Source organism: Homo sapiens, chromosome 12 (genome assembly GCF_000001405.40).
Source record: "Homo sapiens chromosome 12, GRCh38.p14 Primary Assembly".
Lineage (NCBI taxonomy): Eukaryota > Metazoa > Chordata > Mammalia > Primates > Hominidae > Homo > Homo sapiens.
Genome location: NC_000012.12, coordinates 96,019,865 through 96,044,889, shown reverse-complemented (window position 1 = coordinate 96,044,889; position 25,025 = coordinate 96,019,865). Strand labels below are relative to the sequence as shown.

The following is a 25,025-nucleotide window of genomic DNA, read 5'->3' as shown; positions in this document are numbered from 1 at the left end:
AAGGGCATGCAGGCTCAAGGAAGGGCCAGAGAGTGCAGAGAGCTTGAACACCTTGGTTCAGCATGGCTGACGCAGGGTGTATCGAGCCACTCAAGTGGAAGCTGCAGAGCCCCGCGGGGCCAGTGGTAGACACTATGAAGTCCACAGGAAGTCAGCAAGGGCTGTTTTTGTTTGTGGTTTGGGATTCCAGTGACCTTTATTTTTTTTCATATCAATAAATAACCTTTTGACTGGGAAATATATTCACATTAAAATTCAAAAGGCTTACAAGATTATTCAGTTGAAATATCTACTTTTCACCTCTGTTCTTTGGCCTTCCTTCTCTGTCCACACAGGCAAACAATACCATGAGTTTCTTGAGCATCCCTCCAGAAGTATTTTATGTAGATATGAACAAATTTTTAGAATAAATTCTCTTCCCCCTTTTTACACAAAACAGTGAGTCATCCATAGTCAGAATTTCATCAGGCTCCCTGACCACACTGCTCCTTTATTTTTCCAGATGTCACTTGTCATCCAAGACACGGACTTCCTTGGTTTTCCTTCTTCATCGAGGCCATTCCTTTCCAGTCTCCATAGCTAGCGTCTCTTCTTCCCCCTGTGCCATCCACATGCTGAACTCCCAAATGTGTATCTCCAGCCCAGTTCCAGCTTTTCTTCTGGACTCATACTCATATGTCCAACTGCCTACTCAGCACCTCCACTCGAATCACAGACACCTCAGATTGAATATGTGAAAGATTGAGTTGGGCACAGTGGCTCACTCCTGTAATCCCACCACTTTGAGAGGCTGAGGCAGGAGGATGGTTTGAGGCCAGGAGTTCATGACCAGCCTGGGCAACATAGCAAGACCGCTGTCTCTAAATAAATAAGTAAATAAAATTAAGGGGAAAAAAAGGATTGGACTCCTGAATTTACCCTCGCCCACTCCAGTCTGCTTCTCCCACAATCTCTCCTTCTCAGCTAATCCTACTACATTTTCCTGGTTTATCAGGTCAAAAGTCTTGGCATTATCTTTGACTCCTCCCTTTCCCTCATACTCCATATCTAAACTGCCAAGAAATCCTAGTAGGTCTGCCTTCAAAATTTATGCTGAATTTGATCACTTCTTACCAATTCTACTGCTGATTCCTGGGTCCAAGCCACCATCATCTCTCACCTGAGAATTGCTGCAGCGCCTACTTTTATTCTCTCTCCAGTCTGTTTTCCTATAATAATCACCAATAAAACTCTCTAAATGGAAAAGAACTACATGTTTGTCTTTTTTTTTTTTTTTTTTTTTTTGAGACGGAGTCTCGCTGTCGCCCAGGCTGGAGTGCAGTGGCTCGATCTCAGCTCACTGCAGACTCCGCCCCCCGGGGTTCACGCCATTCTCCTGCCTCAGCCTCCCGAGTAGCTGGGACTACAGGCGCATGTTTGTCTTTTAAAGCAACAAGGGAAGAGGGCAAGAGGATGCATGGGCTTGGGAGTTTATTTTCTCTCCTCCTGTCTACACCTCCTCTAATCTGTCTCCCATGCTGCCACAGAGAAATCTTTCTAAAAGACAAGTACCGACCATGCATATCCCAGTTAAGACTCGTCGACTTCTTGCAGCCTTAAAGGTAAGTTCCAAGCTCCTTCTCAAGGCATGTGAGGTTCTTTCAAGTCGAGTCCCTGCCTACCCCTTCAATTCACCTCCCGGGTCTACCCGACATGTTCTCACTTTGCCAACTACTGCAGGTTGCGTCAGGGAGTTTTCTAGGCAGAATGTGGAGAAAGCAAAGAGGAGCAACATGTTTCTGGAGAAATAACACAAAAGCGAAGAAGTGGAGTTGTGAGATAGGCTGATGTGAAGGTGCAGTCCAAGGACAGAGTGCTTTGGGGGAAGAATGAAGTATGAGATGGGAATGGTAAGCAGGATCAAGATCCTGACAGACCTGGTGGCCACAGTAAGACTGGTCATTTATCAATCATGAACATTGCTGTGGACCAATATATAGAAATAAGTTTGATTTAGCTGAGCATGGTGGCTCACGTCTGTAATCCCAGTGTTCTTGGACCAAAGTGAGGGTCAGGCTGCTGTTTCTCGTGGCCCAATAATGAGATGCAGGTGAACTGGGGAGGAAGCGAGTTTTTATTTCTGTAACCGGTTACAGGAATAGGGACCTTTATTTTTTTCTAAGGAGAAGGCCTGGAAATTATCACCAGACCAACTCAAAATTACAAAGTTTTCCAGAGCTTATATACCTTCTAAGCTATATGTCTATATGTAAGTGTGCATTCATCTAAAGACGTAGGTGATTAACTTCTTTCCGTCTATAACTAAGGTCTGAGTCTTGAAGACCTTCCTGTGGAGCGTCAGTAAATTAATCTAAATGGGTGCAGGTGCTGGGGTGATTATCCTTATCTTGTCTCCTGCTAAATCATGGAGGTTTGGGGAGTTCCTTCAGACTCCCAATAAACTTGTTTAATCATGCTTTAAGGTTCAGGAAAGGCCTAGGCAAAACTCTTGGTGGGCTTTTGTTACATTCCAGCCTTTGCATAAGGGTACTGGATTTTAATATTTAATTTAACCACTCAGTCAGTACTGAAACAGTTGTTATGGAGGCCTGCGTTAGTGGACCTGGCCTGCCATACCAGCACTTTCTGGGAGGCTGAGATGGGCACATTGCTTGAGCTCAGGAGCTCGAGACCAGCCTGGGCAACATGGCAAAACCCTGTCACTACAAACAAACAAACAAACAAACTAAAAATACAAAAATTAGCTCGGCGTAGTGGCTTGTGCCTGTGGTCCCAGCTACTCAGAAGGCTCAGGTGGAGGATCACTTGCGCCCAGGAGGCAGAGGTTTCAATGATCTGAGATCGTGCCACTGCACTTCAGCCTGGGTAACAAAGCAAGACCCTGTCAAAAAAAAAAAAAAAAAGAAAAAAAAACAAAAAGAAACGTTTAATTTAAAACTAGGGGTTTATGGCCAGGCGCGGTGGCTCACGCCTGTAATCCCAGCACTTTGGGAGGCTGAGGTGGGCGGATCACGAGGTCAGGAGATTGAGACCATCCTGGCTAACACGGTGAAACCCCATCTCTATTAGAAATACAAAAAATTAGCTGGGCGTGGTGGCGGGCGCCTGTAGTCCCAGCTACTCAGGAGGCTGAGACAGGAAAATGGCGTGAACCCGGGAGGCGGAGCTTGCAGTGAGCCGAGATTGTGCCACTGCACTCCGGCCTGGGCGACACAGAGAGACTTTGCCTCAAAAACAACAACAACTGGGGGTTTATACTACTTTGAAGATAATAAGCTGAGTGATTTAACTTGGTGTAAAGGGGGATACACATTTCTTTTTTTGTTTTTTTTTTAATTGACATAAAAAGTGTATGTATTTATGGGGTATAGTGTGATGTTTTGATGCATGTAGAGGATACACATTTCTGTAAAAAAGAGGCAAGAGGCAGAGTTTAATCAGGAGCTAGCTAGACCACATCAGCAGGCAGAGCAAAGGGAGGAAACCATTCTGTTTAAATGGCAACATGGTCTCGAAGAGCACCCAACTGTGGAGTCCAGAGGTACTGCTGCAGTCTTCCATGTCATTTCTCAGAAAATTAGGGTTCTCAACTCTTACAAACATCAAATGCCAAAACAACAACAACAAAAAAGTGAACTTATACAAGAAATGAGACTCATCTTTCATTTTAATATAATTTCAGATTTAAAAAATCATAAAAGCATACAAATATAATATTATAATATACTGTGAATAACTGGTTATTTAAAAAAAATTTGCCAAAGCTTTCTTTAAAAAAAAAGCTTACGTTCATCTTTTAATCCCTTGGATTGTATGCCAAAAATTCTAGTATTTGAAAATGGGCCTTAAATCAAAAAAGGCAGATAATATCAACTGGCAATGTTAGTAAGACCTTGAAGGATTTTAAGCAGGGGAGTGAGATGATTACATTAGAAAGAATGCTCTAGCAGATAACACAAGCAAGAAGGAAGAAAGATCTGTCCACGATAATGTGGTGGAAAACCAACAGATAAGGGCAAGTATCTGGGGCAAAACTGATAAACTCACCCAACTGAGACCAGGAGTCTTAGTAAAGATTGAGTTCCCTGTGAAGGACAGAAAACCCAAGATAACACTGTCTTAAACAAAGTAGAAATTTATTTCTTTGAGAAATTCAGAGCAGTTCACATGGGGTTTCCATGATCCCCAGAGACCTGGCTATTTCCAGCTCATGGCTCCTTCTACCTTGCTGCTCCACCACTCTCAGCACATGGCTCCAACATCATGATACAACATGGTAGTCAGAGCTCTAGCCATCAATGTATCTTATCTACATTCCAGGAAAAGAATAGAGAAAAGGTTAAAAAGAAAATAAAGTTACTGTTAAGGACACTTCCTGGGAGTCATAATTGACAATTCCACTTACATGCCATTGGACAGAACTTAATGGTATGGCCTAACTGCAAAGAAGGTTGGGAAATGTCTACTTCCGGGTGGCCATGTGTCCAGCTAAACATGGAAGGTTTTACTACTAAGGATGAAAAGATATATAGGTATTAGAAGACAACTAATGATCTCTATCATGCCAGATGTATAACCTGGAGAGGAAAGAAGAAAGGCAGATTATTGAGGAGTGTGTGAGGGCACTGCATTAACTTGTAGGACTTTGTACCTTCAGAATTGTTCTTTCCCAAACACATCTCTACTTCTGGCCCCACGCCTTGATTCCTGCTAAGTCCACCTGAAAAATCTGCCCACCTCCCACTCCCCATGCTCAATCCTACCATTTTTCCTATTAATATTCGGCTCATCCTTCAAATCCCATCTCAAATGCTATGTTAATCATGACGTTATTCTTGACTTTCTCCAAAGGGATAGAACTTGTCCCTCTAGAATTTCATGTATAGTTTTTCTAGGGCCTTAGTCTCCTCTTAACACCATGTTGTCTTAGGTCATTAGTACAGCTGGGTACTAGAGTATAAATTATCCAAGAGGTAAGACAGAACCTTCCCCAATTATTTTCTAGGTAGCACAGTGTAGTAGAATGCATCTAATAAATATCTGCAAATTACATCGACTATTTCAAGAAAGGAAAGGTATATGTAAAGGAAGGGGAGAAAACAATGTAAAGTCTTTTTGCCCTTTTAAGGGAAGCATTTGTGCAACAATTGAAATTTCCCGTAAATGCATTTCAAAACATATCTTTGCTAATGTTGCCATTCCTTTTTAGAGGCCTAATTTGGTGTGACTTGTTTTGCTGTACAAACCGTGGTTGCTTCTCACTTCCCAGGTTGTCCTAAAAGCTCTTGCTAACACAACAAGGAAAAATAACATTACAGTGGTTAAAATAGACAAAAGCCAACAGCAATAATCATATTAGCTAACATGTAACAAATGCCCAATCTGTTTCAATCACAGTGCCAAGCAGTTCCCATACTTTATCTCATTTCATCTTTTCAACAACTGCACGGGCCACAGGTGCCTCAATTATCCTGAGGGGATTGAGGGATTAAGTAACTTTTCCAGGTGAATAGCAGGGCTGGAATTCTTCCTGTTCATATGGCTCTATAAATATAGGTATTATTTCTTTTCATAATATTTTATATAGATCATCTTTTCATCTTTAAGTCTCCTTTGGTAACTAAACCCTGATATTACCCTTCTTTTATTATTATTATTACTATTATTTGTAGAGACAGGGATTCACCACATTGCCCAGGCTGAACTCAAACTCCTGGGCTCAAGCAATCTGCTTGCCTCAGCTTCCCAAAGTGCTGGGATTACCGGTGTGGGCCACTGTGCCCAGCCTTACCCTTCTTTTATAGATGCAGTGGAAAGCCTCATTTTTTGAAGCATTCTCAATTCCCCATTGGATATCAATAATACTCCAATTGCTTGTAAATTGCAAATTTTGTACATTCTATATTTGGGGTGAGTGGTATCTCAGAAAACAATTCCTACTGTAATTTATTTTTTGATGAATATATTAATGGAGGAATTTATTTGTGGTTGTGTGTGGATATTTTTATTTAAACACAAGTGGCATAAACTCTGTGGGTTCCTGGTAATCAATAATAGAAGATGATGATAATGACGTTCTTATTAAAACAAACTATCCTTTCTCCATACTAGATAAATAAGATGATTTGACTGTGTATTATTTGACTAAATGAATTCTATGTTATCTATTGTATTTGTCACCCTAGATTTGGTGACCTCAAAAAATGTTTGCGGCTCTGTGTGGTGGCTCGTACCTGTAATCCCAGCACTTTGGAAGGCCAAGGCAGGTGGATCCCTTGAGCTCAGAAGTTTGAGACCAGCTTGGGCAACATGACAAAACCCCATCTCTAAAAAAATATAAAAATTAGCCAGGCGTGGTGGCGGGCGCCTGTAGTCCCAGCTACTTGGAGGCTGAGGCACGAGAATCGCTTGAGTCCAGGAGGTTGAATGTGCAGTTACCCATGATCATGCCACTGTATCCAGCCTGGGCAACAGGACATTTGCCAAAAAAATCCGAAAATGCAAATGTTGATGACAAATTCTTACACCCTATGAATTAGGACCTATGCATGTGTAAGGTATTAGATTTCATAGTTTGGGATTTTTTGGTTTTATTTTGTTTTCCTTTGGCTTGCAGGGGCCAACACAAGGATATCCAGAAATATAGCAGTTTTTTGTTGTTGTTGCTGGAGCTAAATTTCGTCACTTTTGATAGAGAATTGAACCATACCAGCATGCTAAACCCATCAACTATCCCTCACACCTCTGAAATCTTTACTTTCTTCTTCTCTACCTTTTTGCCTCTGAGTCGATCCTTCTGCAGAAACTTTCCTCTTCTCCAGAAGCCCTTTCACCTGTATATCTAAACATGTTAAAGTTTTCTCTTGCCTTAAAAAGCAAACATTAAAAAAATTCTTTCTCGGCCGGGCGCGGTGGCTCACGCCTGTAATCCCAGCACTTTGGGAGGCCGAGGTGGGTGGATCACGAGGTCAGGAGATGCAGACCATCCTGGCTAACACGGTGAAACCCCGTCTCTGCTAAAAATACACACACAAAAAATTAGTCGGTCTTGGTGACGGGCGCCTGTAGTCCTTGGAGGCTCAGGCAGGAGAACGGTGTGAACCCGGGAGGCGGAGCTTGTGTGAGCCGAGATTGCGCCACTGCACTCCAGCCTAGGCGACAGAGCGAGACTCCGTCTCAAAAAAAAAAAAAAAAAAAGCTTTCTCAATGCTGCATTCCTCTCTAGCTTCCCCTTTATCTTCCCTTCTCACATTGGCCAAGCAACTTGACAGTGGTTTATGCTTCACCTCCCTCTTCTCTTCATTGCTCAATCCACTACTCTCTGGCTTCCATCTTCAACCAAATCACGACAGTCAACAAAATCACCACCTTCCCCATTCTCACCCCACTGCCAAATCTAGAGAATTTTCACTTCTTACTTCGGTGGTCCTCGGGACTGCATCTGGCATTGTTGGTTGGCTCTTTCTGGTTTATTTCATGGGTTTCTCTTCCTCTAGCCCTTTTTAAAACAATAAATTCTGGTGTTCTCTCAGCTTCCAACCTGTTTTCATTACCCTTCTCTTTACACACTCTTCTTGGGTTGAGCTTACCCACTGTCATAATTTCATCCACCACGTTATGTGACGTGGTCATGTCTACCTGGCACTTCCCCAGAGCTGTGGACTTAAATATCCAAGTGACTCATGGACATCTCCACTTCCACTCCCATAGGTTCTCAAATTTCATATGTCCAAAATTGAATTTAGCATCTTCCCCTTAAATCTGTCTGATTTAGTTTGAATATATGTCCCTACCAAATCTCATGTTGAATTATAATCTCCAGTGTTGGAGGTAGGGCCTGGTGGGAGGTGTTTGGGTCACGGGGGCAGAGCCCTCATGGCCTGGTGCTGTCCTCGCCACAGTGTCTTGTGGGATCTGATTGTTTAAGTGTGTGGCACCGGCCCCGCAATCTCTTGCTCTTGCTCGGGCCATGTAGAGGCCTGCCCCTTCTTCACCTTCTGCCATGATTGTAAGCTTCCTGAGGCCTACCTGGAAGCATACTGGAGCTATGCTTCCTGTACAGCCTGCGTAACTGTAAACCAATTAAACCCCTTTTCTTCCCAGTCTCAGGTATTTATAGCAATGCAAGTACAGCCTAACATACTGTCCTCTTCATATAGACTACTACCTCTGGTTAATGACTAGCCAGCCACTGAAGCCGAAAGCCTGGGCCACCTTCGTCTCCTCTCAATCTGTGAATCCACTTATATAAGTATTCCTTCTATTCATTCCTTCCTCTCTATCCTAACTTACTACTTACCTATGTCAGGCCCCCAGCATCTTCTGATTGAGCCATTTTAATAGTTTCCTAAATCTCCTGCTAATGGTTTTGATACCGCATTTTATAACATGAGTCTGACCATGCTTTATCAGTCGCCTGCTGAAAACTCTTCAGTGGGTCCCCCATTAATGCACCCAGGATTAAAAGGCCACCTATTTAAGGTCCTTCGAAACCTAGCCTCTTCCAATTTTTCCAGTTTTAATTTTGAGGCCCCACCCTAAAGGCAAGGCATCCTTCAATCCTCCTTCACCTGCCACAAAGGCCCCAGAGCTGAGCTAGATGTCCCAGCTCTGTACTCCCATTGCGACCAGTGCATAACTTTTATAGAAATTCATTAGTTTCTAAGATGGGAATGTTGGCTTTCTCCGTTTGAGAGATGCAGGTTCTGGGGATATACATAATAAACACTGAAACTGACAAAACAACTGTTTAAACCTTGAATTACTTACAGCTAAAAACAAAAAACAATTACTGTGCCTCCCCGTCGGGGAATCGAACCCCGGTCTCCCGCGTGACAGGCGGGGATACTCACCACTATACTAACGAGGAACCGCACGAAAGAAAGCCTTCTGATAGGCCTTTTCTACGTTTTTGCTCCGCCCCGCCCTCGCTATATGCAAACACCAATGAACCTGATTTTCTTACGTTTGCCACCACAGCTTCCACGAAAGTTGAACAGAGCCAAAATGGTAGTGTTCAGTTTTATCTCCCCCTCCATTCTCATCATTTCCCTTCGGCCACCCTTCTAACTGCCCCTACTCCCCTCCTCTTCTTCAGCTCCAGGAGCACGCTTGGTCCCCCTCAACATCCCTAACACACACGCTCCCAGGTAGCCAAGCGCCCGCTTGCCGCGCGGCACCATGGAACTTGTAGTTCCTTCACCCATCCCCCAACGCTCGTCTGACTTTAAGAAACTTCCTTTCCCGGCGTGCACCGCGAATCCCTCCTCCTCTTCTTTACCTCTCTCCCTCCTCCTCAGGTTCTCTATCGACGAGTCTGGTAGCTGAGCGTTGGGCTGTAGGTCGCTGTGCTGTGTGATCCCCCAGAGCCATGCCCGAGATAGTGGATACCTGTTCGTTGGCCTCTCCGGCTTCCGTCTGCCGGACCAAGCACCTGCACCTGCGCTGCAGCGTCGACTTTACTCGCCGGACGCTGACCGGGACTGCTGCTCTCACGGTCCAGTCTCAGGAGGACAATCTGCGCAGCCTGGTACAGTGGGGCGCCTGCCCAGTGCCCGCCTCTCCCGGGCTCCCTGCCCCTCGACCCTAGTCCTTGCGGGCTCCCGGATCTCCGGCTCACCCCGCCGCGGCCCCTGCCTAGCCCCACGTCCCCGTCTGCTCTTCTGTAGCCTCCATCCAACTCATGTTGTGCACTTCAGCCCCCAGATCTCTCACAGCACCCCTTCTCAACCCCGCTTACGCCTCTGCATCCCTTCCCTCAGCCCCCACTTATACGTATGTCTCCTCCGCCCCTCGCCTGGATCCTCTCTCCGAGGTCCCTGGGCACATCCAGCGCCTCGTCCACTCCTCTCAACTCACCCAGCCCTTAGGTGTCATCTTTGCAGTAGCCCCCATAATTTTAGTTCCTGGCTCTAATTACTCCATGGCCTCCCCATTGCTTCGGCCTGCGGCCCAGAACCCCCTTCTTCAGGCCCCAGACTTTTCCCAGCCCCCTGGGCACCTTCCTCAGTCAACAATCTCACCCAAGTCTCAGATCCCATGTCCTGTCGATCCCTGATCCCACGGTTGCCTCCCGGGAACACTTATTTCAATCCACAGGTCTGCAGGGCACCACCCATCCGTCTCCCTCCTAGTTCCCTGGATCTCCCTGCTAGTCGTTCTCAAGCCTCTTAGGATTTCCAGCCCCGGCCGGGCAGGCCTCTTCTTTCCGCCCTACTTTGAAACTAACAGTCCCTGCTTGCTAACTCTAGGCGCAGCTCTCTCTCTTCAGGGTCCTTTCTACTTTTTAATCTTATCAACTTTCTTCTAATAATTTAAGAACGGATGGGACGTTCAAATTTTCTAAGGATGATTCAATACGCTTTTTTAATAGTTGGTTCCAAGGAGCCAAGTAGTTATTTCACTTAGAAAACACATACTTCTACAAACTCTATAACCATTGGAATGAAGAAAGGTTGTAGATTCATGGAATATTATTCAATGATTTTATCTGTATCATAACCTATATTTAATGTTCTTGCTCAAATTGCCCAATAGTATTTGGTTTATACCTTTCATCTGAAGGTACCTTTCACCTGAAGAATTTCATAGAAGATCATTTTAAAAATAAGAGGGTCATGAAAAGACAGCCAAATTCGGCTTCTTCACCAGGGCAGGATGCTACATGTGTATTTTACACAGTGTAGCATGGTGAAATCTACTAAAGCACATCAATAAGCAATCAGATCAGATCGGGCAGATAAGAATTGGTGGCTTTCAGGCCTCTTTTTCCTACTTGTGTAGGAAGGATCTGAATTTTGATTTCATTAATATGAACTAATAAGTACTTACTTTCTTACTCTTCATCCCTCAACATTTTGCTAAACTGATTGATTTGAAAAATAGGTCGATTCCTCTATGTACTGATAGGTAATCAACAAAAGTACCATAAGAAAGAAAATTAAGATATTATAAGCAGGAAGGCATCTATTTCCTTGCAGATCGCACTTTGGTCTTCTTGAAGTACCATGCTATCTTTAATTGCAGTAGCAACTTTGCCTGGGCAGGGCTGAAGTCCTATTTCAATGCAGTTTCAAAACTAAACACCGCATGTTCTCACTCATAAGTGAGAGTTGAACAATGAGAACACATGGACACAGGGAGGGGAACATCACACACCAGGGCCTGTTGGGGGTAGGGGCCTAGGGGAGGGATAGCATTAGGAGAAATACCTAATGTAGCTGACGGGTTGATGGGTGCAGCAAACCACCATGGCATGTGTATACTTATGTAACAAACCTGCACGTTCTGCACATGTACCCCAGAACTTAAAGTATAATAATAAAAAAAGAAAAACCACACTGTGAGACTGCCATATTTGAACATGAGTTTATACGTCCTACATTCAAAAGTACTAGAGATTTAAAAATTAAGCAATTCAGGACACTTGTGTTCAGATGTGAATAATTGCAAACCAAAACCGAGGTCGCTAGTGGAAGAAATTTAAAGAGGTTTTTCTAATATATGAACAGCAAATTCTTCCTTGAATCTTTAGCTGCAACATATATTTCAGAAGAAATATTCCAATTGGTTTAAGATATAATAAAACCTTGACTAAGCCCCAAACCCACTCAAAGCTCTTAGTTAACTGGAAAGTTCTTGTTCTTCACCTTTATTTAAAAAAATTAAATTATAAACTATGCTGATAAAAGTAAAAGAATGAAAATTTTTATAGCTTTTTGCTGCTTAATGTGACCTCACACTTACCTTTGTTTTGTAAAATAAAAACTTAAAAAATTTATTATTTGAAGTTCAGGTGTACTTCAAATGTGCAGGTTTGTTACATAGGTAAACTTGTGTCATGAGGGTTTGTTGTACAGATTATTTTGTCACCCAGGTATTAAGCCTAGTACCCATTAGTTACTTTTCCTGATCCTTTCCCTTCTCCTACCCTCCACCCTCCAGTAAGCCCCAGTGTGTGTTCCCCACTGTGTATCCATGTGTTCTCATCACTTTTGTAGAATAAAAACTTTATCTCTGTTCTATAAGTAAGCAAGAGTCAGGATGTTTAAATTTTGAAAAGAATGTCCCAATCTAAAAATCTGCTCATTGTTTTTACATTCCCCAAATCTAGAGAAAAGTAAGATTTTAAAATAGTGATTTCTGGTTGGCATGTCTGTTTAGCAAATTAGAGCCTGGAATTATAATAATGTTACATGTTATACAAGGAAGGCAATTTATGGTACAAAATAACATGTTTATAATTGTTTGCTTATTTATGACAAAAGCCTTAGACCAGGAGCTTATCCTTATTAATTAGTTAATTAGTATTTATTTAAAGTTAACTTGTTTCTTTCCTCCACTAGATTGTGGACTCTTGAATGTAGAGACTGTGTTTCATAACTCTTTGTATCTCAGCTTCCTAGTATAGTCTATGTCTGGCATGTAGAGGACATTCAAAAGTTTGATTAATGGATGATTTCAATTAGAAAACAGTGCCTAAGCTTAACATGGGCTACATTGATAATAGTGCCAGCTGTATTTCAGAGGTGAGATGGGAAGACCCAGTGCCAGTGCGGAATCAGGAGAGACGTCATGTCTTCTTTTCCTCTCCGTTCTTAGAGTTTGTGATGTTGAGGAATGCTGAAGGAGACTTAATCGGACAAATTCTAAGCTTTCTAAAATTCTTTTCAAGTTTTGGGTTATTTACACTGAAGTTTGATCCTCCAAATTTATGATAACTTTCATACATTTGTTTCTTTTCACTGAAACCTTCAGAAATGTTTAGGTGTTCTTTTGGTTAGTGGCTCAAGAGGTTTTAGTGCCATGGCCAAGGCAGAAGCCAGCAGTTAACAATAGGTAATTCTGACTGCAAACCATCTTGTTTTCACTAAGTAAATGTCTCAACTGGGAATCAAATCAAGGTGGTTTTTTAGTTTTAGCTTTGTGTTTCACACATAAACCTATTTTTTTTCATCATATCCCTGCACATAGCAAGTAGAAAATGTAAATTTAGACATCATAATGAGGCATAAAGCTTTTTTTAAAAAAACTCTGCTTTGTTCTAGAAAGGACTGAGACTGCTTGAAGCAACATATATAGTATAAGATTAAAAATAATTAAATAATTTGCAGGAAGAGAGAATAGGGATAGGAGAAACAAAACCCATGGCATAAAGCCCTCTATACTTTAAAAGAAGTGGGCCACAGGGTTGACATGGAGCTTCCTACCAGCCTGTGCAAAAAAGGAATCAGATACCTATTCCATGTCAACTGACCAGCTACTGAGAAGTACAACTGCTTTTTAGGGGGATGGAGGGTATTGTTCAAAGAGGATACTGTGAAACATATAAATTATATCCTATAATTAGTAGAGCTGTTGATGCTTAACACGTTTCTTAAAAAGTACTAAATCCAACTTGTCAACAATCCAGTTTTCTTTATTTTTCTTTCTTATTACAGTTTTTGACTATTTTTTAAAAATAACATCGCTGAAATTTGAAGGGGAATTTTAAAAAGTAGTTTGCAAATGATAGTTGAGACTTAGGACTTGAGATAATACAGCTTAAACATTGCATTTTTTGTTTTCTCTTGGTCTAGGACCTGCTTCATGCATTAATTGACACCTAGTGTTTTTGAGGCAGAGTGCTAAACCCTGGGAATACAGACCTAAGTAACATTCTCTGTTTTAGAACCCTTAGTCTAATGGAAAAAGAAATCATTATAATGCAGTACAGTAAGTATTATAGGAAAGGGTAGGGCCAAGAGCTATAACAGACACAGGGGATATCAAAACGTTTCACAAAAAATAGTTGTCACTATGACACTTCTGATTCTGAACAGATTTGGAAAGTTTAGCCAATATAGAAAACAGAATATGTTCCACTGGGAAATGACCCAGTTAATTCATCTATATAAGCATGTGTTATAAACACAAGATACTCAAATCAAGTTTTTAAAACAAGTTAGCTATTCTGAATAGCTATTCAGAACTAGGTACTAGACTATGAAGAGACTAGAGAGGTACTAGAATATGAAGGAGTAACCCTATTATTTTAAATAAGATATAAACCGTATCTTCTACTAATTTAGAGTAAGGATAACAAATGAGGTACCCCCAAAAGAAAGTACCCAGGGGCAGCTGGGAAATGGCTGGTTCTTGGCCTCACATGTAGCCAGGTCAGATTTCAGAAAAGGAAAAAAATAATGCCAGAGGTAGGGAGATCTGGTAGAAAGCAGTTCTGCCAGTCCAGGGCCTGACCTGGGTTAGTAGTGGAAAGAAAGGAAAAGTATGAAGACATTGTGAAAGAACAACTTTTAAGTGGCTGTGTGGGGTTGGGAAATGGGATCAAACCTTAGGTAACTGGAAGAGTTCTTTTAACAGAATCAAGAAATCTGGGGAGAAATCTGATTCAGGGAGTATAAAAATCATTTTTGGAATTTTTAGAAGCCTATTCAATGTGTGGTGCTATGTCCCATGGAAATGTTGAGCAGGCGATTCGACTGAGGTCCTGGGGAGGGAATACAACTGTAGAACTAGAATGGCAGGCATCTTCACAGAGATACTAATTGAAGATGTGGGCATGAGTAAGAGCTAGGGAGTGAAGGATATGGCAAGAAAATCAAAGGACCGGGGCTGGAACATTGGGACATATCCATATTTTTGAATTGGAATAAAGGAGGGGAAAGGAAAAAAACATTAGACAAATAGAGAACCATTTATGATGTATGCGTACAGGCAAAGAAGTGAAGGAAGGGGTTTTAACCAGATGACATAGTCCATAAGGGCTGTGAGTAGACAGAGGTCAAGGTTATTGGACAGAAAAGACTTTGTTGATCGGGGTGGGGGCTGCCCTTTCAATAGCAAGAAGCCAGATGGAAGAAGGGGAAAGGGAGGATGATTAATGAAGAAGTAGAAGTAGTAGTCATAGCAGTCAAAAACTCCCTTGGAGTTTAAGGAAGGAAGGAGGAAAACTAGAATATTTAGTGGGTAGATCCATCAAGTAGAATTTTGTTTATGTTGTTAGGAAACAGTCTTGTGGCATAGGAAGGTTCAAGATTCTAGGACAAGAGATTAGTTGAGAGATAATTAAAGAGTATGATTTGTAGGGCTCAGGATTTTGGGGATAGAAAATACTCTGACACTTGATGTCACTCCTTCATGCCCAAAGCAGTTGTCCTTAATTGGCCATGGCAAGTAGATATGGCCTCCCAATCCTCTGCAGAATCATTTGGTCTGAGTTACCATACCAGGTTGGGCTTTTTCTAGATATACAACCACAGTGATATACAGTTTGCTGATTTGCTTAACGAACATGAAGTTTGAAAGTACATGAGTTCTAGGAGGAAATATATTGTGTAATGTATTGAGGAGCCAGAGTGAAAGAAACTTAAGTTATAGATAAAGTTTTTCATAATAGAGAAAATTTTAGGAGTCAGAAGCAAACATATTTTGATTTAGATTTGACTTTTACTTAAAGCCCAAAATTTGTGTGACTGTCCTAGGGTTATTTAACAATATATATGCAAATCTTAGAACCCAAAAATTTTCAAGATGCTTAGAGTCCCAAAAAATGAGACCTAGACTAGCTTTTGACTCTTCAATTCTTCTAATTTCACTCTGTATTTTACTCTCCATAAGCAACTAGTTGTTGTAGCCTATATCTAATATGAGTTTTTTCTGGTAAATGAAACTATTTTCTTACTATTTAAAAATATTAATTTTAGGTTTTGGATACAAAGGACCTTACAATAGAAAAAGTAGTGATCAATGGACAAGAAGTCAAATATGCTCTTGGAGAAAGACAAAGTTACAAGGGATCGCCAATGGAAATCTCTCTTCCTATCGCTTTGAGCAAGTATGAATGTTATGATCTTTCTCTTTTACAGCTAAATAATGGGGAAACATATTCTTAACTAATTTAAATATTTTTTCTTTTTAAATTTTAGTTTGTAAATATGTAATGATTGGTACACTACTTATCCTGATCTTCTGTTCAGATTAAAGTTGATACAGCAGTTAAAATTATATATACTTAAGATACTAAAAATGTTGTTTGTATATAATACAACAAGGACTTTGGGAACTGTTAGTTTCTAAACGATTCATCCTTTTACTAATATCTAGAGTGATGGTGGGGGCATGCCATCATAAGAAGGCATTTCAAGATAACCTGGGCAGCTTTACAAGTTGCACCCTCCTTGCCCTTGCCCCAGAGGCCAGCTGCATTTATTAATGGGACAATGATAATGCCAAAGATAGAACTGTTACAGTGCAGCAATCTTGGGATAAGTGCTTTAAATGCATTCTTGTATCTAATCCTTACAGTAACCCTGCTGGTATAATCTACACTTAAAGATGAGGAAAGGGAACCTTAGAGAAATAACTTATTCAAGAAAGTGGCAACCAGAATTGTCACACTGGGAGTATATGCCACCTCTTGAGGGGAAAGAGGGTGAAAACTATTGGCCTAGAACAAGGGTGATCTACCCCAGTTGTTCAGAGGCCAGTGTTTTCATGCCTTCTCTTTCCCTTTAAGAGAAGGGAAACACTTAAGTCTAGCTTGTGAGGTAGATGGTATTCACCCCATTCTACAAGGAAACTGTGGCATAGGGAGGTCAAATAATTTCCCCAAGTTTACAGTACCAGTAAGTGATAGAGTCAGGATTCGAACACCAGCAGGGCTGCTGGTCTCTAAACCTCTGCTGTTTCCTTATTATCAGTGCTTCTCAAACTCTCTGGGGTAAAGGACCAATTTCTATCCTCTTCAATCTGTCATAGACTGATACTTTTGTACAATGCAATAAAAATGAAATATGAGGAAGAAGAGATGAAATACAAGCACACATTTTTTATTATTAGATTCAACAGACAAAAATGACTCTAAAAGTTTTGCAATGCTGACTCTCAACTTCTGGTCTTGTCTTGTCCTGGGCCGGTAACAGTTTGCAGACTAGCACTGCTCTGTGTCATGCTGTGGCACCTGCTGCTGTGGTAGTTGAAGCCCCAAAAATGATTTCTTTTACTTTTTCACTCTAATAAAATATTAAATGATATCACAGATGCAAAGTACGTGACACACAACGGGGTAGTCAACCACTGTTAGTTGCCATTAAGCCTTCGCTAGCAGTTAGCATGGGAGAGGTAAAAGGACCCACAGGCTGGCAATTAGGTAGGAAAACTGAGAGGAGACTTACCCACTGAGGATGTGGCATACCTAGAGCTTACTGCCAATCAGTGATGAGAATGCATACTATGTTATTTATATTATTCAGTGTATGTATTATGAGTTTAAATTTTCACTAGATGGAATCATACTCTACTAATATATTTATGTGTTTCATACAGAAATCAAGAAATTGTTATAGAAATTTCTTTTGAGACCTCTCCAAAATCTTCTGCTCTCCAGTGGCTCACTCCTGAACAGACTTCTGGGAAGGAACACCCATATCTCTTTAGTCAGTGCCAGGTAAAAAGGATTCCAGAATGATTTCTGATGCAGAAAATTTCAGCACCTATGGTTGAATGAAGCAAAATGAACAGTGGTTTTATGGATTATGTAGGTTTTACCTAATAAAATGTATTAATTGATCTTATAGAAACATATAAGATGAATTATATATTTTCATTTTATCTTTCACTATTAATACACTCATGCCTTACTTTAAATAAGAAGCTTCTTTCAGTTTGGAAATATGTCCACCTAGATTGGACTCTCTAGGCCTGACTTAGAACTTAGCAGAGAGTAGGTACTCAGTAAATAGTCATAAAATGAAAGGAAAAATTAATAAATAATATGTACTGGTTATGAAAAATGCTAATAGTAAAGAAATGGAAAGTGAAAGATTTAATTTCCAAACCTTTTCCAGACACCATTGCCCAGAGGTAACCACCATTGAGTTTGGAATGTAGCTTTTCCATATTTTTCTTACACATTTACAAAAGTATGTATTATATCAATATATTAACTGTACCTTTAAAATTGCATGACTTAAACTACTTTTGTTTTCTGTTTTAAAACTAAGGGTAAAGAGCCATACAATTAGAGATAACCTGTCACAAGGATAATACATTTCAAACTGTCTTCTGAAAGAAAAAATACCTACTTTTCATAGTAATCAAATAATTTACAATTAAGGGAACTGACTTCATTAAACGTTTGCTCTATTTCCAGGCATTGTGCTAGATTCTTTACATGTTTCATCCCTCCCAATATTCCTGTGTGTTAGGTTCAAATTTCAATACAAGTCCATTTAAAAAAGGAATTAGCATATGAATCAGACCTGTTTACTTTCTATGGCCACTTGAAACATCTTTTTAATCTAAGAAACCCTCAGTTTAATAATCTAGAAGAGATGAAATGTTCTACGCAAGAGTGTACAAATTGCACAATCTGTATCTCATAAATATCTGATTTTCAGGCAGTATGTCTTAATAGAATGTCTATTAACCAAAGTTGGCAAGAAATGCAAGATTTATGAGTCATGAAAATGTTAATTTTGAATATATTATTCCATTTCTTATTGGCAGCAATGGTGGGAATATGGGAAACAGATTTCAGCTAAATTAATAAATGATTGAGGTGATAGGAATCATGTAGACATGATTTTGTTTGATGAATTTGCTTACGGTTGTTCTGTATGCATATTTGCCTGGGTTTGGCCTTATCCAATGAAATACATTTAAAAACCCCTTTGGTGTTGCCATGTCACCTAACTAGAAACCATTAAGGAACTATAGAGGCATGGTCTTGGAAATCTATTTTGGGAGAGAGAACCAGGTGGCTCTGCTAGTCCTACTTAATCCATCTAGAGGTCATTTGGGAGCCTATATCTTTGGAGAATTTTCTAGAACTGAAATGAAAAGACCTGGAGTTTGGGGGTTTTAAGAAAGCTTGTGGTGGAATGAAGTATGTTTAGGATTTGTAATAGCTTCAGAGAAGGGTGTTAATATCAGAATTCCTTTGAGTTTAGTAGACTGTCTCAATGAGGCTGGGTTTTCATTTCATTGTTCACCAGCAGTAGACAGACTTATTTGTAAACAGACCGGGTATAAGATTGTAGGTGCTCTTTTTTTTTTTTTTTTGGAGACAGGGTCTTGCTGTGTTGCCCAGGCTGTAGTGCAATGGTGCGAACTTGGGTCACTGCAGCCTAGAACTCCTGGGCTCAAGCGATCCTTTTACCTCAGCCTCCTGAGTAGCTGGGACTACAGGTGTGCACCACCATGCCCAGCTAATTTTTTTTGTGTAGAGGTAAGGTCTCACTATGTTGCCCAGGCTGGTCTCAAATTCTAGAGCTCAAGCAATCCTCTCATCTGAGCCTCCCAAAGTGCTGGGATTGCAGGAGTGAGCCACGGCACCTGGCCTGTGGTCATACTGGATGGAACCAATGTTAATAACGATTGGTGTGGCAGTACAGAAACACTTTGCATATGATATGAATGAATATGTCTAGATGGTATTGAAAGAGACTGTTCTTTCTCCCTTCTTTGCTTCTTTGTTTTACTTACAAGGTTTGCTGCAAGATTGAAGTGTCAGGATTACAGCAACATTTCTCAGGCTGTGTTCATTAGAATACTGACATCCCATTAGGTGTTAAACCAGAGAGAAATGGGTTTTGTGTTAACATAAATGTAAGAAATCAAACAGGTTTCTTTATTGTAGGTCTGTTCAGAGCCTTCAGGCGGCTAATATTCTAGTGGCTCTGCAAGACAGTGGTGCAGTATGCCATACTTCTCAGGTCTGTTTTGCTACAGAGCCCTTTTTTCTCAGGTTTCTAAAAGCTTCTCACTGGGCACTACTGTCACCCAGACCATAGAGTAGGAAACACTGCTTAAGAGTTTCTCCATGCTTCAACTGAAATGTGAGGGTTAACCATAGATTAAAATGGAAAATCTGATTTTTAAAAGTCCAAGAATCTATTTTTGGACTTTAAAAGATCCCAAAAGGCCAGGCGTGGTGGCTCACGCCTGTAATCCCTGCACTTTGGGAGGCCGAGGTGGGCAGATCACCTGAAGTTGGGAGTTCGAGACCAGCCTGATCAACATGGAGAAACCCCATCTCTACTCAAAATACAAAATTAGCTGGGCGTGGTGGTACATGCCTGTAATCCCAGCTACTCGGGAGGTTGAGGCAGGAGAATTGCTTGAACCCGGGAGGTGGAGGTTGCAGTGAGCCAAGATCATGCCATTGAACTCCAGCCTGGGCAACAAGAGTGAAACTCCGTCTCAAAAAAAAAAAAAAAATCCCAAGAAATGAGGACTGTTTTTATTTTAATGTCTAAGAACAATGCTGCAATTTTTAATGATTTCTTAATGACTTATGCGAAAGATAAATAGCTATTTCTTCTTGTTTCTCCCTTTTTCAGGCCATCCACTGCAGAGCAATCCTTCCTTGTCAGGACACTCCTTCTGTGAAATTAACCTATACTGCAGAGGTAAATATTACGAATTATTAACTCAATTAAATGATGCATATCAGTAAATATGGTATAAATGATAAGCAGAGATGATAATTGAATTCCTAGAGCTAGAATTATTTTTCTTAATGAAATTCTACCTGAAATATGTAAACAAAGAGGCTGTGGCACTCATTCTGAATCTCTACTTTAAAGGCAGTTTTAAACATTTTAACTGTGAAAAAAAGGAAATGGAAACCAATCTGACTTTTAAAAAGGAATTCAGGGCTAGGTGTGGTGGCTCACACCTGTAATCCCAGCACTTTGGGAGGCCGAGATGGGTGGATCACGAGGTCAGGAGATCGAGACCATCCTGGCTAACATGGTGAAACCCCATCTGTACTAAAAAAAACACAAAAAATTAGCCGGGCATGGTGGCGGGCACCTGTAGTCCCAGCTACTCGGCAGGCTGAGGCAGGAGAATGGCATGAACCCAGGAGGCAGAGCTTGGAGTGAGCTGAGATGGCACCACTGCACTCCAGCCTGGGCGACAGAGCCAGACTCCGTCTCAAAAAAAAAACCCAAAAAACAAAAAAACAAACAAACAAAAAGAAGAAATTCAGAATCCTGGATCTAGAAATAAGAACTTAGGAACAATTTTTACTTAACTTTTAAAAATTGACATTTGCATGATTTAAGTTTCTATAAATGCATTCTGTAGCCATATAAGCCTAGTGGGCATATATTCCAGACTTGTCTGTATGCAATTCCAACTTATTCCCTTGGTAGGTACTGCTAATCCTTTTTGGAAAAGGCGGACTGTAATTACTAAATAATCACTATCCCGGAGGCTAGACCTACTTAGACCAAGCAAATAGAATGAGGACCAACCCATATTTATGGGGCCTTCTTGCTTCCCAAATCATCCCACAACCAAATTACATCTAGGATAGTGCAGTGATATATTATACTTGGAGGCAAAGAATCCCAGGGCTCTGGCTCTTCTCCACCACTTAATAACTGCGTGAAGTCCCAACTACTTGGGAGGCTGAGGTGGGAAGATCACTTGAACTCAGAAGTTCAAGGCCAGCCTGGGCGACATAGCGAGACCCCATTTCTAAAAAAATAAATAAATAATGATGTGACACTTGAACAAGTTTTATGACCTCGCAACCTCAGCTGGCACATATATATAACGTATCACCACCTAAATGAAGGGAGGTGGCTGAACCGAATTATTTCCTGAATAGTTTTGTGCTTTAGAATCTACAATTGTTGTAGCACTGGTTCAGGAACTTCTAATTCTGTGCCTGCCTCAGTCACAGCTTTGGGTCCTGAGCCATGCAAGAAGAACATGAAAGTCTAGCCCCTACTGGAATATATTCTTGTTTGATCATTAATACTTGGGGGAGTCCTTTATTCTGGCATTCATCAGAAATCAAACTTTCAGAATCATGGAGCTAGGATACACAGTTAAATGACTATATGGTTTGCCGCATAAGGGTCTTTTCCGTATGGATTTCCAGAGAAAATTATTTGACAGTTTTTAGCAATAAATTTTAGTTTTTCACAGTTACTACTTTTAAAATGTTCCTCTATTTGTAACTCCAAGTGTGTGTTTTCAAAACAAAATTGTTCAAAACCATTCTGTCCTACAGTGAGTATATAACGTCCTTTTGAATCTGTTTTGTGAGTGTAGCGGGAGCAGGGATGGTGGCTGCCATTGCCAGGGATGGTGCTGGGCTCTTCACTTATATTATTTATTCCTTGCAGCAAGCCTTTGAAGTTTTACACTTACTTGATGGGGAAACTGAGGCTCGGGGGTTATATTTATTTGCCCAAGTTTGTGCAGTTAGTTATTAGGTGGCAGAGCTGGGATTTTAATCCAGTTTCTACCAAAACTCTGCTCTTAATGTGCATGGGTGAATGGATAGAAATTTCACATTCACTTTTAAAGAAGCCAGTTTCCCATATTGCTAATTTTATTTACAAAACTGATATGTATATGTGTATATATATACTTTTTGTATATGTGTTTTATATATATACACATATATATGTGTGCATATATATACACATCTATACACGTTGTGTTCATATATATGTGTGTGTATATATATACTTTTTGTATATGTATATACTTTTTGTGTTCATAGTCTGTTTATTAGATAGTCAAGAATGGGAAGAAAAGGTTATTTTACATATATGGTTTAAGACACATAGAAGCTTTTATTTATGACTAGAAATGATTTTTCTCCTTGATTAGGTGTCTGTCCCTAAAGAACTGGTGGCACTTATGAGTGCTATTCGTGATGGAGAAACACCTGACCCAGAAGACCCAAGCAGGAAAATATACAAATTCATCCAAAAAGTAAGATCCTAGGGTCTAGATTTTTGTTTTCATTGGCGGTAAACTACAGTTAGCTTGTACACATCCAGAGGGCAAAATTACTTTTGAAATATTTCAGAATTTTGAGAACAGCTTTTGGTTTTTGTTTTCTTCATTTTTTTTTCTTTTGTGCTTTTAAAGGGTTTTGTTCTACTTACAGAGTGTTGTATTGAAGAGAGGGTTTGCTGTAGAGACAGAATAGGGAGCATACCTGTTTTCATTTTCCCTCACTCCAGTTCAGGGGCTGGCTTCCTGTTCTTTTGAGTTCTTACGCATTCACCTGCCCTGGTACTACAGTGTGGGCAAGTGGCTGTTGAGAGTGTTTACAAATGGAGGAGTCAAGACCAAAAAAGCACTCAGTTACAGTCCTGGTCATTAGACATGTATCTTTGACCTTCAGTGAACAGAATGTGTATGCATGCGTGAGTGTGTGTGTGTGTGTGTGTGTGTGTGTGTGTGTGTTTTCTTAATTGACCTCACAATGGATAATTTGACTTCCACTGCAGCTTCTGTGGTTCCAAGCTCCCATAACTTTGGCATCTACTTATTGCCGGGTAACTCTGTGTGCCTCTACAACATGCCAATAGTGCTTTGAAACATAAAGGAATAAAAAAAGAAAACCAAAACCTTTTAAAAGTCAGGAGGAAAAAGGCAAACATATGGGAAATGCGCTTCCTGTAGGTTACTTTTTGAGAAATGCTCAAAATGCACCTTTTAATAGTATGTGTGATCTTGTTTTTCATGTGTGAGAAGCTTTTGTTCCTAGCAGAATAAAAGGCAAATAGATGTTTTGAACAATGTTTTATATCACAATTTTAAGCTATATGTTAAAGATGAGAACTATTTGAGAAGTATAAAAGCAAAGTTATCCCTACTAATATTAGGAGATTTGAAAGGGAATTTACTTACTTTTAAATATGAATTGTCTTACTGTGTAACATTTGTGAACACTAATGCAAGCACGTGGTGTGCGTTTGTTTGCCCTCTTTAGGTTCCAATACCCTGCTACCTGATTGCTTTAGTTGTTGGAGCTTTAGAAAGCAGGTGAGCTTTTGGAAAAATTTTCAGGTTTGTGGAAAGATCAAAACTTAGGCATCTTGAACTTCTCTCAAGGTTAATTGGTCAATCATTTGCATATTTCTCAAGATATCAAGCTGACAGCTCTAGAAAAATTCAAATCTAAAATGTAGGCAACAAATTAATTTTACATTTAAAAATCTTGACCAGTTACCCCTTATTTTTTCAAGTATTGTAAAATGAGCATGCTCTTACCTTTAGAGATCTGGATTCTCATGTAAGCTTGAACAAGTCACTCTCAATCTCTGTTTCCTTATCCTTGAAATTATAATGTCTGACTTTCTACCTCATAGGGTGGTTATGTGAAACAAATGAGATAAAATATATTAAAGAACTTGGAAGCCTACAAATATTACAGAAATGTAAGATATTTTATCAATATTTTACAAATAAAGTGCCCTTCCTTCTTAATTTTTTGTTCATTCTTAGTTTTAAGCACACTTAACTGTTTTTAAGTGTGCGGTTCAGTAGTGTTAAGTATATCCACATTGTTGTGAAACAGATCTTCAGAAATTTTTCATTTTGCAGAACTGAAACTCTGCACCAATTAAACAATAGCTCCTCTTTCCCCCACCGCCCAGTCCTTGGTAACACCCATTCTATTTTCTGTTCCTATGAATTTGATTACTTTAGATACCTCACATAAGTAGAATCATACAGTATGATTTTATCTCTTTGTGTCTGGCTTATTTCATTCAAGGTGTCATAATGCCCTTAAGGTTTATCCACGTTATAGCATCTGACAGGATTTCCTTCATTTTCTATTTGTTTCTTCTTATATAAGAGTATTCAACCTTTAAGTGCATGACAAAGTTTATACCCATTCCTGTTCTAGAATAGTCTTACAGGCTGGGCTCTGTGGCTCATGCCTGTAATCCCGTCACTTTGGGAGGCCAAAGTGGGAGGATCGCTTGAGCCCAGGAGTTCAAGACCAGGCCGGGCAACATAAGTGAGATCATGTCTCTACAAAAAAATAAAAAATTAATCGGGCATGGTAGTGTATGCCTGTAGTCCCAGCTACTCAGAAGGCTGAGGTGGGAGTATTGCTTGAGCCCAGGAGGTGGAGGCTGCAGTGAGCTGTGATGGCCCCTCTGTACTCAGCCTGGGCAACAGAATGAGACCCTGTATATTTAAAAAAAAAAAAAAAAAAAACGCTGGGCGTGGTGGCTCACGCCTGTAATCCCAGC

At 40.4% G+C, this 25,025-nt stretch overlaps 1 protein-coding gene and 1 non-coding gene across 13 annotated transcripts in view, besides 7 other annotated features; one reads left to right on the top strand and one right to left on the bottom strand.

Moving 5' to 3' along the window:
- Positions 1 to 1,369: 1,369 nt before the first annotated feature.
- The window catches only part of LTA4H (leukotriene A4 hydrolase), a 42,768-nt gene continuing 19,112 nt past the window's right edge, over positions 1,370 to 25,025 (top strand). For 7 of the 12 annotated variants that reach the window (NR_182265.1, NR_182266.1, NM_001414263.1 and 4 more), the window contains exons 1-6: positions 9,303 to 9,529; positions 15,705 to 15,835; positions 17,326 to 17,446; positions 20,343 to 20,411; positions 22,639 to 22,743; positions 23,753 to 23,805. Coding sequence is in view for 9 of the 12 variants with exons in the window: in NM_001414263.1 (NP_001401192.1) it covers positions 9,371 to 9,529; positions 15,705 to 15,835; positions 17,326 to 17,446; positions 20,343 to 20,411; positions 22,639 to 22,743; positions 23,753 to 23,805 (638 nt within the window). In the remaining 3 variants the exon portion in view is untranslated. Of the gene's footprint in view, positions 1,602 to 9,302; positions 9,530 to 15,704; positions 15,836 to 17,325; positions 17,447 to 20,342; positions 20,412 to 22,638; positions 22,744 to 23,752; positions 23,806 to 24,131; positions 24,201 to 25,025 lie in introns of those variants that run through there. The other 5 variants (NM_001256644.1, NM_001256643.1, NM_001414266.1 and 2 more) reach the window with 4 other exon arrangements.
- Positions 8,545 to 8,594: an enhancer, noted in NCBI's record as "active region_6824". NCBI's record gives its function as "activates an Ori minimal core promoter by ATAC-STARR-seq in GM12878 lymphoblastoid cells {active_cell/tissue: GM12878}" and the evidence as "EXISTENCE:reporter gene assay evidence [ECO:0000049][PMID:35858748]".
- Positions 8,615 to 8,664: an enhancer, noted in NCBI's record as "active region_6823". NCBI's record gives its function as "activates an Ori minimal core promoter by ATAC-STARR-seq in GM12878 lymphoblastoid cells {active_cell/tissue: GM12878}" and the evidence as "EXISTENCE:reporter gene assay evidence [ECO:0000049][PMID:35858748]".
- TRD-GTC2-8 (tRNA-Asp (anticodon GTC) 2-8) lies at positions 8,798 to 8,869 on the bottom strand. Its single transcript has one exon. It is a non-coding gene; the product is annotated as a tRNA-Asp (tRNA).
- Positions 9,105 to 9,524: an enhancer, noted in NCBI's record as "active region_6822". NCBI's record gives its function as "activates an Ori minimal core promoter by ATAC-STARR-seq in GM12878 lymphoblastoid cells {active_cell/tissue: GM12878}" and the evidence as "EXISTENCE:reporter gene assay evidence [ECO:0000049][PMID:35858748]".
- Positions 9,575 to 9,674: a silencer, noted in NCBI's record as "silent region_4740". NCBI's record gives its function as "represses an Ori minimal core promoter by ATAC-STARR-seq in GM12878 lymphoblastoid cells {active_cell/tissue: GM12878}" and the evidence as "EXISTENCE:reporter gene assay evidence [ECO:0000049][PMID:35858748]".
- Positions 10,115 to 10,204: an enhancer, noted in NCBI's record as "active region_6821". NCBI's record gives its function as "activates an Ori minimal core promoter by ATAC-STARR-seq in GM12878 lymphoblastoid cells {active_cell/tissue: GM12878}" and the evidence as "EXISTENCE:reporter gene assay evidence [ECO:0000049][PMID:35858748]".
- Positions 11,839 to 12,008: an enhancer, noted in NCBI's record as "experimental_31194 CRE fragment used in MPRA reporter constructs". NCBI's record gives its function as "activates a minimal promoter by MPRAs in K562 erythroleukemia cells, with activity observed for the introgressed 12:96426745 variant allele {active_cell/tissue: K562}" and the evidence as "EXISTENCE:reporter gene assay evidence [ECO:0000049][PMID:34662402]".
- Positions 22,201 to 22,370: an enhancer, noted in NCBI's record as "experimental_31179 CRE fragment used in MPRA reporter constructs". NCBI's record gives its function as "activates a minimal promoter by MPRAs in K562 erythroleukemia cells, with activity observed for both the introgressed and non-introgressed 12:96416383 variant alleles {active_cell/tissue: K562}" and the evidence as "EXISTENCE:reporter gene assay evidence [ECO:0000049][PMID:34662402]".